The sequence below is a fragment of the Homo sapiens genome, chromosome 4, assembly GCF_000001405.40.
Source record: "Homo sapiens chromosome 4, GRCh38.p14 Primary Assembly".
Lineage (NCBI taxonomy): Eukaryota > Metazoa > Chordata > Mammalia > Primates > Hominidae > Homo > Homo sapiens.
In genome coordinates, this window is record NC_000004.12 from 172,931,364 (window position 1) to 172,950,551 (window position 19,188).

At 38.6% G+C, this 19,188-nt stretch overlaps 1 protein-coding gene and 1 long non-coding RNA gene across 9 annotated transcripts in view; one reads left to right on the forward strand and one right to left on the reverse strand.

Annotated features, from left to right (window-relative positions):
* Positions 1-19,188, forward strand: part of GALNTL6 (polypeptide N-acetylgalactosaminyltransferase like 6) — a 1,228,156-nt gene that overhangs the window by 1,117,960 nt on the left and 91,008 nt on the right. The window contains exon 10 of one of the 8 annotated variants that reach the window (XM_017008243.3): positions 16,969-17,054. The exons of the other annotated variants lie outside the window; for them this stretch is intronic. Within the exon in view, the coding sequence (XP_016863732.1) occupies positions 16,969-16,983 (15 nt within the window). The 3' untranslated portion in view covers positions 16,984-17,054. Of the gene's footprint in view, positions 1-16,968; positions 17,055-19,188 lie in introns of those variants that run through there. 8 annotated transcript variants of the gene reach the window in all.
* On the reverse strand, positions 143-7,830 carry LOC107986201 (uncharacterized). The gene is made up of 3 exons (XR_001741451.1): positions 7,788-7,830; positions 6,667-7,042; positions 143-290 (listed from the first exon to the last, which is right to left on the reverse strand). It is a non-coding gene; the product is annotated as an uncharacterized LOC107986201 (long non-coding RNA).

Below are 19,188 nucleotides of genomic sequence, written 5' to 3' on the forward strand. Positions count from 1 at the left end.
CCAGTGTACAGAGAGCTCCTGTGCTTCTCAGAGTCTTATTTCCATTGCTTAAAGAAGTATTAACTATAATGCTATTTCTTGTTACAAATTGGTTCAAAGCATTTTCACATACATTATATTTAATCTTCACCATTACCTTCTGAGGTCTGTGTTCTTGTCTTTATTTTGTAGATGGGAAAATGAAGTCTGAACTAGGTGCTTGTTCATGCTCACATGAATGCCAAATAGCAGAGTAGGTCCGCGGACCTGGGGCAGCCAGTTCTCTCCACCCACATGGAGTGTAGCAGGATCTGTAATAAGTCAGATGGAAAAAGGGGTAAATGGGAGATGGGAAAAGGTGGATGTCCAAACTCTGCCTTCTTCTCTTTCATAACTAGGGCCAGCTCTGCCTCAAATTTTGCCCCATCCTCAACATTTCAAAATTGGCTCAGTCTTAAGATTTTTTTCCAATATTGTTTTGAATAAAACCTTTCTTGTAAACCAGATGCAAAGATGCTCTTCTCTTCTGCCGTTTGAAACATTTTTATGCTTGTTTAGGAGAACGGACTCACAATACCATCTCCAAATAATCCTGACAATTTCTCTGCTTTCCATATTACTTTCTTCAGGGCTGGGTCAGTTTTTGTCACCACCATATGTACCTGCTACTGCTGAGAATCGAAATCTAGAAAAAGAGAATTTTATCACACTGCTACCCTAGAAATCAAATCCTGAATTATTCATTTTGGTTCTTTTACTAATAAGGCTGCAAGATATAACTATTTGGATCTTTTATATAAGGCTCACATAACAAGCTTTTGTAAAAATAAATAAACGAATTCACCAGGAATCATTAGAGTATCAGTAACACAAGGGTAGAGCTTTGGTCTGTGTTAGTTACCGCTGTACTCTCAGAACCTAAAACGGGGCTTAGGGAACACTCAGATATTTGTTGAAAGAATTAATTAATCAGGAAAGCTAAGAGAGGAAAATGCTGGAGATTTAAGTTGTTACTAAAACTTAAATACTTTTTAATGAGTATAACAAAATTTTCTTTTACAGTGAATCTTTGTGGGGCGGGGGGAGTTGTTCTTCCTTTTTCCCTTTCTGAGAGTATTCATCAACTGTCCATTTCTCTTTAGCTACATCCATATTCTCTAACAGCAATTAGAGCTCCTAGTAATAACATTACCTTACACACACCTTGAATGGAAATACAGGCTGAGTATCCCTCATCCAAACTGCTTAGGACCAAGAGTCTTTCAGATTTCAGATTTTTTCCAGATTTTGGGATATTCACATATACATAATGAGATATCTTGGGGATAAGACCCAAGTCTAAACACAAAATTCATTTATGTTTCACATACACCTTATATACATGGCCTGAAGGTAATTTTATACAATATTTTTAATAATTTTGTGCATGAAACCAAATTTGCGTTAGTACTTATGTGTGGAATTTTCTATTTGTGGCATCGTGTTAGCACTCAAAGAGTTTTGGATTTTGGAGCATTTTGTATTTTATATTTTCAGATTATGGATGCCCAACCTGTAGTAATATTCCTGCTTTCCTAACTAAATTAAAATTTTAATTAGATGCTAAAACATATTCCTCTAAGTAGCTGTCAAAATACACTATTTGAAGGGAAAAAGCAGTCACAAAATCATAAAGTAATTAAAGAGCTGAATTTGGGTAAGGAAATATGGTTTGATTTAGTCATAAGACTTAAGACATATGAATCAGAAAACAATAGTTCACAGGAAAGTAAATGATTGAACAATTTAGAGCACATGTCACCAATCAGCTGGGTAGATATAATAAATCATAGCAGTTTAAAATATCCTAAAGATAATAATGTTCTCTCATGTATCCACTTTTATTCACTCATATGCTCCCCTGCTTGTGCTCTGAAAAGAACCATCCTTCCAAGACAATGGGTGTGTATGCTTGCTTCGTAGTCTAAAGTAGAGTGTAAAAGCTTGCAGGGGAATGCTGTGCTGATCCAAAAGGAGCTATTTTCAAAAAAATAAAACTGTTCATATATTTTCAAGAAAGAAATTAAGTACTTTTTCAAGGATTGTCAAATACAGAGAAACTGGGGTTGGCACATAAAACTTCCAGGAAAAAGTGAATATTTATTCAACTGAAAAAAGTCCATAATTCTGAATTTTAATCTTTTCCACTCAAATTTTACTTCAGAGCTCATTTTTATTTTTTTTTCTAAACTGCTAGAGCAATCAGAAAGTCATAAATATTAAAGCTTGACTGTCACTCTGAGAAACATTTTATGGTTTTTTTAAGTTAAAAAAAGTACATTAAAATGAAAAACAATTCTGATATTTTGTGGGAGCACCTCAACTACCTCGCTACATGCTACATTATTACCATATCATCAAAAATGAAGAGAGACTTTATATATACTTCAAATGCAGGGCCACGTCTACTCAACTGATATTTTAATCTTGCAGCCTCATCAGGAAATGGAGATGAAGGTGGAGACTTGACTCCAAAGGCTTATTTTCTTACTCTACAAAGCTCAATTAATTCTTCAAAAATGTGCACTTTTCACATTGATGATTCCAAAAGACTTCCAAAATATTTAAACACACACATAGACACACAAATGTCTGAACAGCCTTAAACAGCCTACTGGTTGGTGTATACTATAGAAATACATTTGTAAAATTAGTTCTTCAGTACCTTCTATTTACCTGGCATTAGAATCTGGTTGCAAAAGACAGGATATCCATATATGAAACCATTAGAGGACAGTACAAGGCAAGTAACTGCTTAAATGTATCGTAAGGACATGTATAGGTAGAGGGAAGAGGAGGAAGTAGCGTCATAGCTGTGACCTTCTTCAGTCCTCTCAAATTAAAGGACTTGAAAGAGGACCTTCAAGAATATGTCCACTGAATTAACGAGTTTCATATAACAGTGGTTTCCAAACTCAGGATGAACCAATTCCTGACTAATATTTCACCCAGCCTCAGTGAACTAAGAAAAATGATAATCCCAAAGATAAACCTGTTCAACTTAATAACATCTTTTTATGCAGAAACTATAAGGTTTTTTTCATTGAAAAAAAAATAGAATGCAAGACAGTAAATTTTTGTTAGTGCCCTTATTTGGCAAAAACAAAAATCAGCATCACTTTGTCATTTCCCACAAAATGTAAAAACCTAGGACACCATAACTTACACTTCAGCTTCATCTGGGAATAAGCGTATTCACTTGACATTAATAAGCCTAGACAGTTTTACTGAGTCAGCTCGGGGCCTATTGTCAGCACACTGGGACACGGTTGTGGTGTCTTGCCACAAGGAACAAGCAGCAAGTCACTGAGGGAAGGGATGCTCATGTCTAGAGTTGCAGGGAGACTAGAAAGACAGCAGGGCTGTGGTGACAATCATCCCTTCTGCTTCACAGAAGCGTGAGCAGCTCCTCAGCAAAGGTCCACTGAGTGTCGCTTTGCACAGCCCAAGGAGGCTGAGTGGCAAATAGGTGGAAGAATCTCAAAGAAGAGATTCTTCTCTTCATTCCAACAGGTTTTTATGTGAGCCAAGCACTGTGCTGAAGGAGCAGCTATTACTGGCACCTATGGGGACAGTCCACAAACTCCTCTGTGAATGTCAGTGTGTTCAGGAACAATCAAAGCCACTGGATCTGTGACAGGTGGCTGTAACAGCAGGGACATGTCAGAAGTGGAGAGCAGTCACCCCACGGCTAAACATACCAGCTGATTATCACACAGCAGTGGTCTTCATGGGAACAACTTGGCCCATGAGAGTTTCCTTGGAGGGTCACCACGCCAGAGCGCTGCCCTGCAGACTGTGAGTGGGGCAGTCCTGGAAGTGCACACAGCCACCCTCGCCAATACAAGACAAGGTTAGAACCAACCCTTACCCCTAGTCTGTAAGAAACATCAGAGAATGCAAATCTGTATACTGCTGTATTTCACCTCTGACATAGTATCAGTAATTTTTTCATTTTAAAATTTCACCCTAATATCAAAATTAAAATAACTAGAGAAGCAAGAGCAAACAAATTCAAAAGCTAGCAGAGACAAGAAATAACTAAAATCAGAGCAGAACTGAAGGAGATAGAGATACCAAAAAACCTTCAAAAAAATCAATGAATCCAGGAGCTGGTTTTTTGAAAAGATCAACAAAATAGGTAGACTGCTAGCTGACTAATAAAGAAGAAAAGAGAGAAGAACTAAATAGATGCAATAAAAAAATGATAAAGGGGATATTACCACTGATCCCACAGAAATACAAACTACCATCAGCTAATACTATAAACACCTCTACCCAAATAAACTAGAAAATCTGGAAGAAATGGATAAATTCCTGGACACATATACCCTCCCAAGTCTAAACCAGGAAGAAGTCAAATCCCTGAATAGACCAATAACAAGGTCTGAAATTGAGGCAGTAATTAATAGCCTACCAACCAAAAAAGTCCAGGACCAGACGGATTCACAGCCAAATTCTACCAGAGGTACAAAGAGGAGCTAATACCATTCCTTCTGAAACTATTCCAAAAAATAGATAGAGAGGGAATCCTCCGTAACTCATTTTATGAGGCCAGCATCATCCTGATACCAAAACCTGGCAGAGACACCACAAAAAAAGAAACTTTCTGGCCAATATCCCTAATGAACATCGATGTGAAAATCCTCAATAAAATACTGGCAAACCAAATCCAGCAGCACATCATAAAGCTTATCCACCATGATCAAGTTGGCTTCATACCTGGGATGCAAGGCTGCTCAACATACGCAAATCAATAAACATAATCCATCACATAAGCAGAACCAACGACAAAAACCACACGATTATCTCAATATATGCAGAAAAGGCCTTCGACAAAATTCAACACCCCTTCATTCTGAAAACTCTCAATAAACTAGGTATCGATGGAACGTATCTCAAAATAATGAGAGCTATTTATGACAAACCTACAGCAATATCATACTAAATGGGCAAACGCTGGAAGCATTCCCTTTGAAAACCAGCACAAGACAAGGATACCCTCTCTCACCACTCCAACATAGTATTGGAAGCTCTGGCCAGGGCAATCAGGCAAGAGAAAGAAATAGAGTATTCAAATAGGAAAAGAGGAAGTCAAATTGTCTCTGTTTGCAGATGACATGATTGTGTATTTAGAAAACCCCACCGTCTCAGCCCAAAATCTCCTTAAGCTGATAGGAAACTTTAGCAAAGTCTCAGGATACAAAATCTATGTGCAAAAATCACAAGCATTCCTATACACCAATAATAGAGAGCCAAATTGTGAGTGAACGCCCATTCACAATTGTTACTAAGAGAATAAAATACCCAGGAATACAACTTACAGGGATGTGAAGGACCTCTTCAAGGAGAACTAACTATAAGAACCATCCAAGAACATGGGAGACTTTAAATTTTTTTCTAGTTTCAGGATAGGAGCTAAAACTGAAGTCAAATCTCATAAAAGCCAAATTGTACAGGCTGCTTCCCAGGTCCTGAAAATGTTAACTTAGAGTAAAAGGGATAGAGGTTAAATGGTAAAGGAGTAGAGCTGGGTCTATGAACCGAGGTCTGTCTGGTCGAGGTTCATGCTCCTCACCATAATGTTTCTTCTAGAGTGCTTGAGATAAACTGGAGCAGCCTGGGCATCTCTGGTAGGGCACCAGTTTAGCAGAGTACCAAGTAGAAATGGGCAGGCAGAGAGTTACGGAGGGTGTGCGTAGGACCTGTGGAGTTAGCCTTGGAAGACCCTGGATGCAGATCACAGTGTTGACCTTTACTCCTTGACTGTAGGGCCTTGAACAGGAAGTATCAGGATAAAAATAGCAGAGGTAAAATAGAAAGGTCAACCAACAAATAATTATTAAAATGGAGAAAGTCTAAAGAAAGTCTAAAGAAATTAACATTTCGAATGCAAGGAGCATTTGTAAAAAAAAAAATCATAAAATATTTTTATTGATTTGCTACACTGTGCACGGAGGTGGGGCTCACATGTGACTATGAGCTTTCCATCTCAGCATCCCAGAGAAAATAGTATCAGTACAAAAACAGGGAAGGGAGGAAGAGGAAAGGGGAAGAGACTGAGATTGGTTTTAGATAAGGTTAAGTGACAGCCTGGGATAGCCTGGGGCAGCCAGATCTGGGGAGATACCCACAGATTTTCCATCCAGAATTCTGAGAGCACACAAAAACTTTTGACAGATTTTCTTTGGCAAATAAATGTTTACTTCTGAAAAAAGAAATGCTTACTGTGCCAGTCAGTGTGCTAGGCCCTGGAAGTTTAAGTGATGAACAAGTTAAACACAAATCTCAATTCCTCTTAATAAATGGCCTTGACAGTAACGTACAGTCCACACCATGCAGCAGTAATCCACGTATTCCAATGCCAGAATATCATGAGGATGAGAAAAGGGTTAAATGAAAATAATAAAGCTCATTATGGAATGAAATCTGTATCTTATATAGTTCACTATTTGGAAATTGTTTTTTAATAGACTGTCATATTATAATTGAGATTATGATGTAACAAAAGAGAAATATATGCCCTATATAGCATATAGCATTATTTTATATATAGCCATATATATTTGATATTAACAAATTATGTTTAATGACCCAATAGGCTAATCTACATACAAGTTACAAATGTTTTTGACTTTATGCATTTACCTAGGGTTTCTTAGCAAAGTGTAACAACCTTTGACAATTTCCTATGGTTATTATACTTCACAGGCACAAAGTTCTAAGTCTGAGGTCTGAGGGAGAATTGTGGTTGTGCCTCTGTAAGCTGTGAAACGACTTCTTTATATACTTCCCAAGATGCCTTTCTTCCTTCCTGTGCCATCTCCCTGGTGACATCCAGCTCTGCTGATTCCATAGATCCTCTCAGACTCTTGAAAATGATGGAGGTTGGGAGAGGCATAGAGAAAGGGAGGAGGAGGAGGTGGAGGAGGAGGGCTTCAATGTAAAAGCCAGACCACCCCAAGTCGATTAATAAATGCTTCTTCATTGTTGACCATGGTGTCAGCTTTCCCATCTGAAATAGCTGAAATAAAAGAGCACAATGTCAGGCAAACGCAACTCGCCCTTGTTTATGTCAGAAAAAGATATCAGCTGAGGAAAAGCATTAACAAAACCAAAATGACTAGTTTGATATCTGAAAATAAAATCACCAACAAGGTTATAAAGTATGGTGGTGATGAATGGGAAATCTATACTCCCTCAAATTGACCTTTCTCTCCCGATGACTGTAAATCACTGTACTCTCTTAAAGCTGCCCAGCATACAAGAGCTTGTGGCACGATAACCTTGGACAACAACAGCAGCACCACTTCTCTCTCCTGCTCTTAAAACTGCAGGGTTCAGATGCTCTATTTGAAACCATCACTGAGTTCAGGGGCATGGTGGCCTATCATGGGTTTTCTCCCAAAAAGCAGGAAATGATAGATCTTCCCTCAAAACTCAGCCCTCATAAATGGCTAGGACTTTTGTGCAGAGGCAATTCTGAAAGCAATAACTTTCTCTAATTCTTCCTTACAATATAACCTAAAGGGCAATAAGGCTGTCTAATACTTTTGCTCAAAACTAAAGATGATTCACATACTGCAATTATATGTTTGCTTCTCTCCTGACTTGGTCACAGTTTAAAATATAATACCTCAGGACAGGCATAGTGGCTCATGCCTGTAATCCCAGTGCCTCAGGAGGCTGATGCAGGAGGATCACTTGAGAACAGGCTGGGCAACATAGCAAGGCCCCAGCTTTAAAAAAGTTTTTTTTTTTAAAGTTACCTGGGTGTGGTGGCATGTGCCTATAGTCCCAGCTACTTGAGAGGCTGAGAAGAGAGGATTACTTGAGCCCGGGAAGTCAAGGCTGCAGTGAGCCATGATCAAGCCACTGCCCTCCAGCCTGGGTGACAATGTGAGACCCTGTATCAAAAATAAAACAAAACAACATAAAATATAACACCCTCTACTTAGAAGGAGCTTTTTATTTTAAAAATCAAGGCATCTTCCATAAATAATGTTTCATTATTCTCTATGATTGATATCCTCTCTAAAAGTCAATCATAAATTAATGTGACAATAATGATTCAATAAATCATTAAATACTATGAGTTCATTGCATGCTATAAAGATAAATGTCATCTCTAACCTCAGAGAAGTCTCAGGCTAGATAAATCCTATTAATAAATATTTATCAAGTGCCTACTATGTGCCAGGCAGAAATGCACACAGCATGCTACATATCCTAAGCAAATAGCATTGGGCCTTGCCAGTTAGATCAAGCCGCCCCTTTGTGATGTAACGTCACCTCACCTTGGGGCATCCCCTGCACTGGGGATGAATTTCTGGTAGACAACACTGGTAGAGCACTCACTCACCCTTCAATCCTCCTTTTTAAACACTGGGCATTTCCTGCTTGTGCTAACCATGAGAAAAATAAGGCCAAGGGAAACCATTCTGTCAGCCAAGGACCCACAGAGAAGAAATGAGAAAATTGTGTGAGAAACACAAATTTATTTGCCACTCAACCCTCATCTACTGCCTTAATTCCTAACCCGATGGCATCAGAATTTTTAAACTATATATTTTGTTAGTTTAACAAATAACGATAGAATCCCACATTACTTTTAAAAATTTTAAACAATATGGAGGTAAAGCATAGATTTTTTTCATATCAAACATAGACACTAAAAAAGAAAGTAAAATAGCAAATTGCTGGCAGGTACAGCCTCTTGCCATTTGCAAGTATCATGAAAAAAATATGTGAGGTAAAGACAACGTTATTTTCAAACTTGGTAATTTCCCACAAAACCTCGCAAAACTTTTTTTTTTTTTTTTTTGAGATGGAGTCTCACTTTACCTAGAAGGTAAAGTTGGCCACTGATACATGAAATAATATTTAAAAAACACTATGGACTGGTTGCAGTAAACACATATGAACTCAAACCTAATTCCACTTCCCAACTAGGAATCATTTATTTATAGAATACAGAAAGTAATTTTCTTTTTTTTTTTGAAATGGAGTCCCACCCTGTCACCCAGGCTGGAGTGAAGTGGCGTGATCTTGGCTCACTGCAACCTCTGCCTCTGGGGTTCAAGTGATTCTCCTGCCTCAGCCTCCCAAGTAGCTGGGACTACAGGTGCACGCCACCATGCCCAGCTAATTTTTGTAATTTTAGTAGAGACGGGCTTTCACCATGTTGGCCAGGATGGTCTCGATCTCTTGACCTCATGATCTACCTGCCTCAGCCTCCCAAAGTGCTGGGATTACAGGCGCAAGCCACCACACCCGGCCAACATTTTATTATTATTATTATTATTATTTAGAGACAGGGTCTCACTCTATTGCCCAGGCTGAAGTGCTGTGGTGCAATCTGTGCTCACTGCAACCTGGAACTCCCAAGCTCAAGCCATCCTCCATCTCAGCCTCCTAGGTAGCTGGGACTACAGGCACACGCCATCATGCCTGGCTAATTTTTGTATTTTTGGTAGAGACGGGGTCTCACTATGTTGCTAAGGCTGGTCTCAAACTCCAGGAGGCCTCAAGCAATCCTCCAGCCTCAACCTCCCAAAGTTGTGGGATTATAGGCATAAGCCACCATGTACAGCCTCAAAACTATTTTTTAAATTTAGTTTCTTCCAACTTATTTACTCTAAATATTTTTTCCTCAAAAGCTCTCACAGATGTTATATTCTTCCCAACATTAAGGAATTTTGCTTAATTTAAATTTTTCAAATATTCCATTGTGCTTTCCCAATTTTCAGCTCAGTTATGACTTGTGATTCAATTATCTGATGCTTTCCATTGTGCAAAAGAGAGCTTGTAATTGAGTCAGGTAGTCCCCAAGCTATGGGGACAATATTAAGCATTTCTTGAGCTATCACATGAGGACCAAGATTTTATGTTAGCTTTTGTTTATGCCTATTGGGATATTTTATAATGTAAATAGAATATCTGAATAGTGATCCCAGATAATTGCATAATAACAAGCTATCATGATTAATCATTACTTTCACTTTGTCATTCTTAATGAAATTAAAATGGGATTTATCTTCCACTTCCTATGGGATCTTTTCCAGTTTGTTTTGGTTATTCACTCTCCTACCTGGAGACCTTGGCATTTCAGGCGGTTATTGAGCATTTACATAACTTTCTTTTTTCAAAGCACTTGAGAAACAAACTACATGGTGAGACCAGTTTGTGGACTAGAGAGAATTTTAATTGCATTTTTATCATTATCCCCATTAGAACTGACCATTTCCCTGTATTCACAATTCCACTAGAGCCTCATAAAGGAGAATGCTGGCTCCGACAAAGAAGGTCCCTGCTGCTACAAAATTAAGCTGCTGAAATTTAAGCAAACTCAAATATTTTAGCATGCCATAATCTCAATAACCGAAAATGCAACTCTTGCAAAGACGAGTAGGGCTGGCCATTTAATAACTGTCTTCCAGGACCCCAATCCCACGTCTAAGCCATGGGAGCACCTGGATGGTAGGGACTCATTTCATGGAATTAACTTCTTCCCATGAGATGTGTGAATGCACAGTACCACTGTGCTTGGGGCCTCTGCAATTTCATTCCCATTCCAATCCTCCATGTTTCTGATGGTTTATTAGTTCATGCCAAGAATTCCATTTCCAACTGCAATTCCAGCCCAAGTGTATCTCCATTTTAGTGCCAGTTGAGATACAGAAAGTAGTTCTAGTTGCTATTTTGTAAACTGAGAAATGGTCAAAAACAAAATGGCAGCTTTGTGGTGTATGGATGCTTCTGGGTGTTCTAATTCTGAAAACAGTTTCTAGAAATAAAATTTTGCAGATTACTTACAACTTGGACAGATATAATTTGTAATCTAAGACCCCTGTCATGGGCATTTAGAAACATGGGGATTTTATTTTCTGCCTGTTTGAAAGTCTGGGAAATAAAACAAGGTCTATTAATAATAATTGGAATAAATGCTATAGCACCTTTTAGTTCAACCACAGTTTGTTTGAATGCTTGCTGTGGATGTTCTTGTGAGGGAACCAAACTCTTGATAATCTCTTTGGGTGATGATTAGAAAATGCTGGTTGTGATTTTTTAAAAATATCAAATGGATTAATGATAATCATCTAGAAATAAGGTCGTACTTCATTTTATACCTAAGTTGTGATGACATGAGGCACCATTGGCTTGATTACCAGGAAGAACACCATTCAGATTGTCCCCCAACCATCTGTAGACATTCCCAAAAGCCTCCATCGCATATGCTTGTGCACCCACTTGTCAGAAGCATACCCATGCTGCACCGCCCCGGATTTGCTTCTTTTGTTTCTGCTTTCGCTTGCCTCTGTTTCCTGCCCATGAAGCTGTAGGTGAAGGCACACCTCCACCACCACTCACAGAAGCATCAACCACTAGCTCACAATGCTGAGTCTGGAGGAACCAAGACTTCAGTCATTAAAGTGCCAGAACTTCTCTGGGTCCTGAGTAGACTCAGTCAAGATGACTGTCTCCTACCTGTGGGCCATACATACTCACTTGGACACAAATGACCTGTGTTTCTGTGGTCTCTCTTCAACGGTTCCAGCTTCTGATTATCTCCACTTTTCCAGGGTTTCAAAAAATCAATCACGTAAAATTATTCCAGCATACTCTGACCCTCACACCCAGCCAAAACAAACAAGTACAATCTTAAGGGATACATGAAAATTGGCAACCATACTTTCACTTTAGTCCTATTATCCTTTTTTTTTTTTTTTTACTTCCAAGGGTAGGGCATAACAGGCATTACAGCTTTCTCCTTGTTCTCTTGGATGACTTGCTTTGGGAGAAGCCAGCACCAAGTCATGAGGATACTCAAGCAGCCCTGTAGAATGGCCCATGTCGCAGAAAGCAAGCCAAGTCCTCCTACTCAGCACTCATAGCAAGCACCAGTTTGACAGACACTGAGTGAGCCACCTTGGAAAAAGATCTTCCAGCCCCGTCAAAGGCTTAAGATTACTGCTACCTCAGCCAAAATCTGACTGGAACTCATGAGAAATCTGATCCGGATTGTACAGCCTATTTTATTCCCAAGTTCCTGACCCACAGAAACTGTGAAGGATAAAAAATGTTTTTTATTGTTTTAAGCCGCTCAGGTGTGAGATAGGGTGTTATTTATCAATAGGTAATGAATACAGTTGTTTCTGCTTAATAGTCTTTCATCAGCAACATTCAGACTAATTTTATCTTCAGGGACATGATTACCTCAGGTGGCACATTTGAAGCTCAAAAATTAGGCAAGCTTGTACACCAAAGGACACTGTTCACAGAATGAAAATCCAGCTCACAGAATGAGAGAAAAAAATGCAAATCATACATCTGATAAGTGCTTAATATCCAGAATATAGAAAGAACTCCTACAACTTAGCAACAACAAACACACAACCTGATTGATATATGCAAGAATCTATTTCTGGAAGAGAAGAGAGAGCCCAGAAATGGATTCTTCAAATGGTCAGTTGATTTACATAAAGGTATAAAGGTATACATTGGAGAAAACATTATTTTTTCAACAATTGATGCTAGAACAATTAGATGTTCATATCCAGAGAAGTAAATAAACATCAATCTGTATCTTGCACCACATACAAAAATTAATACAAAATCAATCATAGACTTTAAATGTAAAGGATACAATTATAACATTTCTAGAATACAAAAACAAAGAAGAAAAATTTTTTGAGATTAAGCAAAAATTTCTTAGGTATGACACCATAGAAAAAAATTGACAAATTGAACTTCATTGAAATTAAAACCACCTATTTTTCAAAGGCACTGTTAAGAGAATAAAAAGACAAGGACTGAAAAGAGATATTTGCAAATCACATTTCTGGCCAAAGGTTTGTATCCATAATACATAAAGAATTCTCAAATTTTAATAATAAGTAAAACGGCCCAATTTTTAAAATGGGTAAATGATTTGAAAGACATTTTACCAAAGAAGATACTCAGGTGGCAAATAAGGACATGAAAAAATGATTAACATCATTAGTCATTAGGAAAATATAAATTAAAACCACAATGAGATGCTACTGCATGCTTTTATAATGGCCAAAATTAAAAAGACTGACCACACCACATGTTGGAGTAACTGGAAATCTCATACAATGCTAATGGGAATGTAAAATGGTACAACCACTTTGGAAAACAATTCAGATTTTTTTAAAAGTTAGACACATACCTAGAGTACAACCTAGCCATTCCACTTCAAGATTTTTATCCAGGAGAAATGAAGGCAAATGTCCATAAAAGACTTGTACAAGACTGTTCATACAGCTTTATTTGTAATAGCCCCAAACTGGAAACAACCCAAGTGTTCATCAACAGGTAAATGGAGAAACAAATTGTAGTTTTTTCATGTGATAGAATACAATAAGAATGGGCTGGGCACGGTGGCTCATGCCTATAATCCCAGCACTTTGGGAGGCTGAGACAGGAGGATCACCTGAGGTCAGGAGTTCAAGACCAGCCTGACCAACATGGTGAAACCCCGTCTCTACTAAAAAAAATACGAAAGTAGCCAGGCATGGTGGCATGCGCCTGTAATCCCAGCTACTTGGGAGGCTGAGGCAGGAGAATCACTTGATCCCAGGAGGTGGAGGTTGCAGTGAGCCAAGATCACACCATTGCACTCCAGCCTGGGCAAAAAGAGCAAAATTCCATCTCAAAAAAAAAAAAAAGAAAAAAAAAGAATACTATAAGAATGAATACATGCAGCTGCAGCTACATGGATAAAGATCAAAATACTTATACTAAGTGAAAGAAGCCAGACAAAAAGAGCACATACTGTATGATTCTATTTATATAAAATTCTAAAAAATACAAATTAAACTATAGTGAAAAAAAGTACATCAGTGGTTGTCTGGGGACATAGAAATGCCACAGAAAGGAGATCGGGAAAGGGATTTCAAAGAGGCATAAAGAAACCTTTGCAGGTGATGGACATGTTCCTTATCTTGATAGTGTTGATGATTCCACTAATATAGTATATACATATGTCAACATATACCAAACTATTCACTTTAAATATGAGCAGTTTCTTGTATATCAACTATTCCTCGATAAAGCTGATTTTTAAATTAGGCTTACCAGCATTTTTTAAGACACATTGTTAGCTCATTTGGGGTTTTTGTTTGTTTGTTTGTCTTATATCTAAAGGCTACATTAAATGCCATCATAAACACCACCATAGATATCCAAAATATTTGGGCAAAAATACAATAGAGATATAAAATCAAAGAGAAAGCTAACCCTTGTTCATGACAGCCCAAAGAAGATAACCACCTACAAACAGCTCACACAGCCTTGGGGAAGAAGGAAAAGGAAATTGCCTGTCAGAGAAGCTCTGTTTGTAGGACTAGATTAGCCTCCTCTCCTTATGCTGAAAGTTTCCCACTGACTTCAAAGAAGTGCTCAGATCAGAGAAAAGTAGAGCTAGGCTGAATAATTGTAGTGAGGTTGGGGCTGCCTTAAAGACAATCTCTTTTGAGCTGTACCCATGATGACATTATCATATTATCAATGATAAAAGGGCTGTGGGGTGGGACTACTGAGCCACAAAAGCACTCTTAAGCATCAAAGAGGAGACAAGAAATACATTCAAATAAAAGCAGAAATTTAAAATCATGGGATATGGATACACCTCCTTGCTGTAGGAGTGACTGTGACAAATTAGAAACTGTTTCTGTTTGGGACTGGCTTTACTAGTTATCACTAGTTTTGGGGAAAAAGCGTGTGTGTGTGTGTGTGTGTGTGTGTGAAGAAAGAGGATTCACTATAACACAATCCACCATAATACAATAGCTTAATATTGACACAAGCACAATTTGAGAAGCGGGATCTTGCCAGGACACATGTAATAATCACACCTTGCACAAAGAAATAGAAACACTCTACTGAGGTAAGATGGCCCAAATAATACAAATACAGTTGACTCCCAAATAATACACTGAGAAACTGAACAGGGATTGAATAGTCTAGCAGTAAGATCTAAAATGTTGCTGGTAAAAATAATAATAATTAGTGGATAGATTTATGCAGTTTCACAAGCCAGCAGGAAAAATTGAACTATCTATTTTCCTCATGCTGTACACCAACAGTGATCAGTCAAGCTGGAAATCTGTTCTTATAAACTGAGCTAGAAATGTCATTTAATGTTCCTGGTAAAATATCAATTCAAAGACCTGACGTGTATTAGAATTAAGGAAAGATTTAGTGTTGGATAGCACAAAGAAAACAAGACTAGAATTCTAAAGACCTCTAATGAAAGGCTGAATGTGTTGATAAATATTTGAGCAACACAGAAAAGAGAGATTAATGCCAGTTTGGGTTGAATAGAGGAACATTTGTGACACACAAAGAACCACAGACAGGTGACATAAAAATAGAGAATACTGTTAACATCTTGTACACAGAAGATGCTCCAAACAACAGTTTCTATGTGGAGAATTATCCTGTTCAGCAATCCATTTTGGTTATGGAAAAGCAGCCAACATGGTTTGCCCAGGATAAGCAAGGACAAACAATGAGAAAGATGAATTGCCGGGCACGAAAAGGGAGAAGAAATTTTAACATTCTGGTACAGCCCCACAAAAGAGACGTAAGAGAGAGATTTTTGAGTTGAGCAGAACCATGGCAGGAAGCTAAAAGACAGAAGGAGGAAATTTTAGCCAGGGAGAAATTCCCTTTAGCAGCCAAGGGAAAAGAATCCAAGGGGTCAAATACTTCATCTTACATTATCATCTATGCTGTTTTGTTATCTAAGTCTCTGCTACTGCCTGAAAATCTTCAGTAAAAGTTATGCCCAGTTGATGCACCGAGAGACATTTGAGAGATGAGGGAAAATACCTGTGCACCCCACCCCATTCAAGTCTCTGCAGGACAGAAGGTAGACAGCAAGCTGGGGGCAAGATGCCAGGAGGAGAGAGGGATCACAAACAGAAAACTGAAGTGAAGGATGAATGTGTGAACACCCCTGGGAATCCACAGAAATCTTCAGGAGGACAGGGACATGCAATTTGAGGTTAAAGTATTTTTATTTAAACCTCAAAAAAACAAGAACTCCAGCTAACACCTGGCTCTGTATATAAGGCAACCTCTAGAGATGCAACATCTGATAGTTCAAGAGTAAATGATTACATGTATAGATCTCCCGGCATTCATGCTTGACTCTTTCTTTCCCCTTGATAAATTTTTTTTTTTTTTGGACATCTTAGCAGGTCCACCAATGTCCATTCAATCTCAGAGAAAGATAGGACTACTCAGATTGATTTATTTTCTCTTTTACCATCTCTGGCACAAGCTGTTATTGGAATGTTTCCATTTCATGATTCTGCACATGTTTACACAGCCGTAAGTGTTCAAGTGAGAAACATTGCTTTGCTCCTATTCCACTATCTCTGTGTATGTGAATGTGTGGTATGCGTGCTCCTATATAAATACCCTGACGAACTCCAATGAGTATATGATTTTCCTATTTCCTGGAGTGGGTCAATTTATTGTACAGTCTATAAAAGACCAATGAAACTCTCTTTTTGCAACTGTTTGCAATATTTCTCAGCTGTGGTACCAATGTTTTCCCCAAAACTAAGTACTGATTTATGATTCCAGTGACAAACTAACACAATGTTTTATTATTTCCAGAATACTGACCTCAGAAAGATTTTATTTGGCCAGCCACCTGGTTAGTTGAGGAGTGAGGGCTATTCCTTGAATATAATAATTGACACTTTAGAAAGTTTCTCCTGATAGTAAATTCTGGAGAACAGGCATCTATAATCCAAAATGTCTAATGAGCCAATGGGGACATTAGAGAATGGTCAGGATGTTTTACTTATGTTTAAATGTTTATGTAACACTTATAGCTAGAGGGAAACTTGTTATTGCCATCTTTGCAATTATTATGTTGTTTCTGTTTTACCATCTCTTGTAAAACTACAGAAAAGGAATCGATGATTTCACATGATCCTTGGAATATGTCCATGATCCAACTGCTTGCTTTGGAGTGGTTTTTTTGAGGGGGGCTTTTTTGGTTTGATTTTTCTTTTTGCTGTTGTTGTTGCTGTTTTGTTTTTCTTTGAGACAGAGTTTTGCTTTTTTTGCCCGGGCTGGAGTGCAGTGGTGTGATCTCGGCTCACTGCAACCTCCACCTCTCGGGTTCAAGTGATTCTCCTGCCTCAGCCTCCCAAGTAGCTGGGATTACAGGCACCTGCCACCAGCCTCGCTAATTTTTTTTTTTTTTTTGTATTTTTACATAAAAATAGAGATGGGGTTTCACCATGTTGGCCAGGCCTGGTCTCAAACACCTGATCTTAGGTGATCCACCTGCCTCAGCCTCCCAAAGTGCTGGGATTACAGCATGAGCCACGGCACCTGGCCATTTTGGAGTGTTTGAGAAATCAACACACCTAGTGTGTTTCAACTTGAAAAGGACACGATGATGCAGAGCTACCTGGTTAGTTCCCTAGTTAACTATACTAAAGCCTACTTGACCCTTGGTGACAGCTTTCCAACATGCTGACTTCTGCCTCTTTTACTTATTGATATTGCCTATTCTGGTTAGCATTTATCATGATCCTCTGAGCCTTTTCCCATTGACTGCACCGGAATTAGTTAGTTCCTCTATGAGTTTTGCAATAATTGCCATATCTATTTCAAAAATCCAAAGCAACAATTTACCATTTAGCAACAGCACTTGTTTTCAATTGTTCCCATTTCAGTGCTTTTATCAATAGATACATACGCACACTATGAATTTGTTCACATTCATTTCATCATATGGTCTTTCATTAATTCAATGATTAGCATGTCCAGATGAGCACACACGTTTCTGGAACCACACAAGATGCTAGGTCTTTTAAGGCAAAAATAGATCTATCCCTAACTTCATGGCACTTATGGTCTGAAAGTGCTTACTTATCCAAGTCAAAACAGAGTCCTGAGGGACAGATCTTTTCTGCAAGCTACTAGAATTTTAAAGGTATATTTTTTCTTAAGAAAATCACTTTCTCATTATTACTAGGTCATTTGCTTCTGCTTTTTGCTATTCCCCAACTGTATTCATTTTCACTTATCACAGAGGTGTAAATTGATGAAAATTAAGTATTTCCACTTTATTTAATATTGCAGTTTAGGGGAAAAGATGGTAACTACAGCCTAAAATCAATTTTGAATATAAAGTTTTAATATTATCAACTAGTTTTTTTTTATTCTAATCCTCATTAAAAAATTTGGCCTAGCGGGGTGCGCTGGCTCACAGCTGTAATCCCAGCACTTTGGGAGGCCAACGCGGGTGGATCATGAGGTCAGGAAATCAAGACCCTCCTGGCTAACACAGTGAAACCCCATCTCTACTAAAAATACAAAAAATTAGCCAGGCATGGTAGCACGTGCCTGTAGTCCCAGCTACGTGGGAGGCTGAGGCAGGAGAATCGCTTGAAGCTGGGAGGCAGAGGTTGCAGTCAGCCAAGATTGCACCACTGCACTCCAGCCTGGGCAACACAGTGAGACTCTGTCTCAAAAAAAAAAAAGAAAAAAAGAAAGAAAAGAAAAAGAAAAAAGAAAGAAAGAAAAGAAAAGAAAATGTGGCCTGAGGACAAGTAAAATAGAATGCATTTCATACAGAATGTTTGTCAAAATGAAATGAAAATAGTAAGATGATATTACAGACTCACACTGAGTTTTTATGTATGTAGTACAGTGCCATCCCACAGCAGGACTCTCAAGACATCATCTGTTTCCTTTCTGGTCCCCAAATGAATCAGGCAATTCCGAATTGGTGGCAAGGGCTAGAATATTACAAAACCATGTTGACTCTGATCATCTGTCTGTTAAGGTAAACTGGAGTCCAAGGAGTAGAAAGCGTTATGGGCCAGGCAATGCTGACGGGATGGTAGGGTGCACAGCAATGGCAAGTAATAATCTCTCAGGGAACAATTCTCACAGTCTCAAGGTCATTAGCCTATCTTCCTATCTATGCACCCAGGCACCTTAGAAAGAAAGGAACACAGAGGGAACTGAGAAATCAGAGCTTTCTTTGTGGCTCTGTCTCTTTTCTGCATCTTACTGGGTTAACAGAGCCCTTCTTGGTGCCCACCGTCCACCAAAAGCACCCAAGGAGTGCACAGAGAATGAAGAGCAGGGACAAGGTCAGACAGGAGA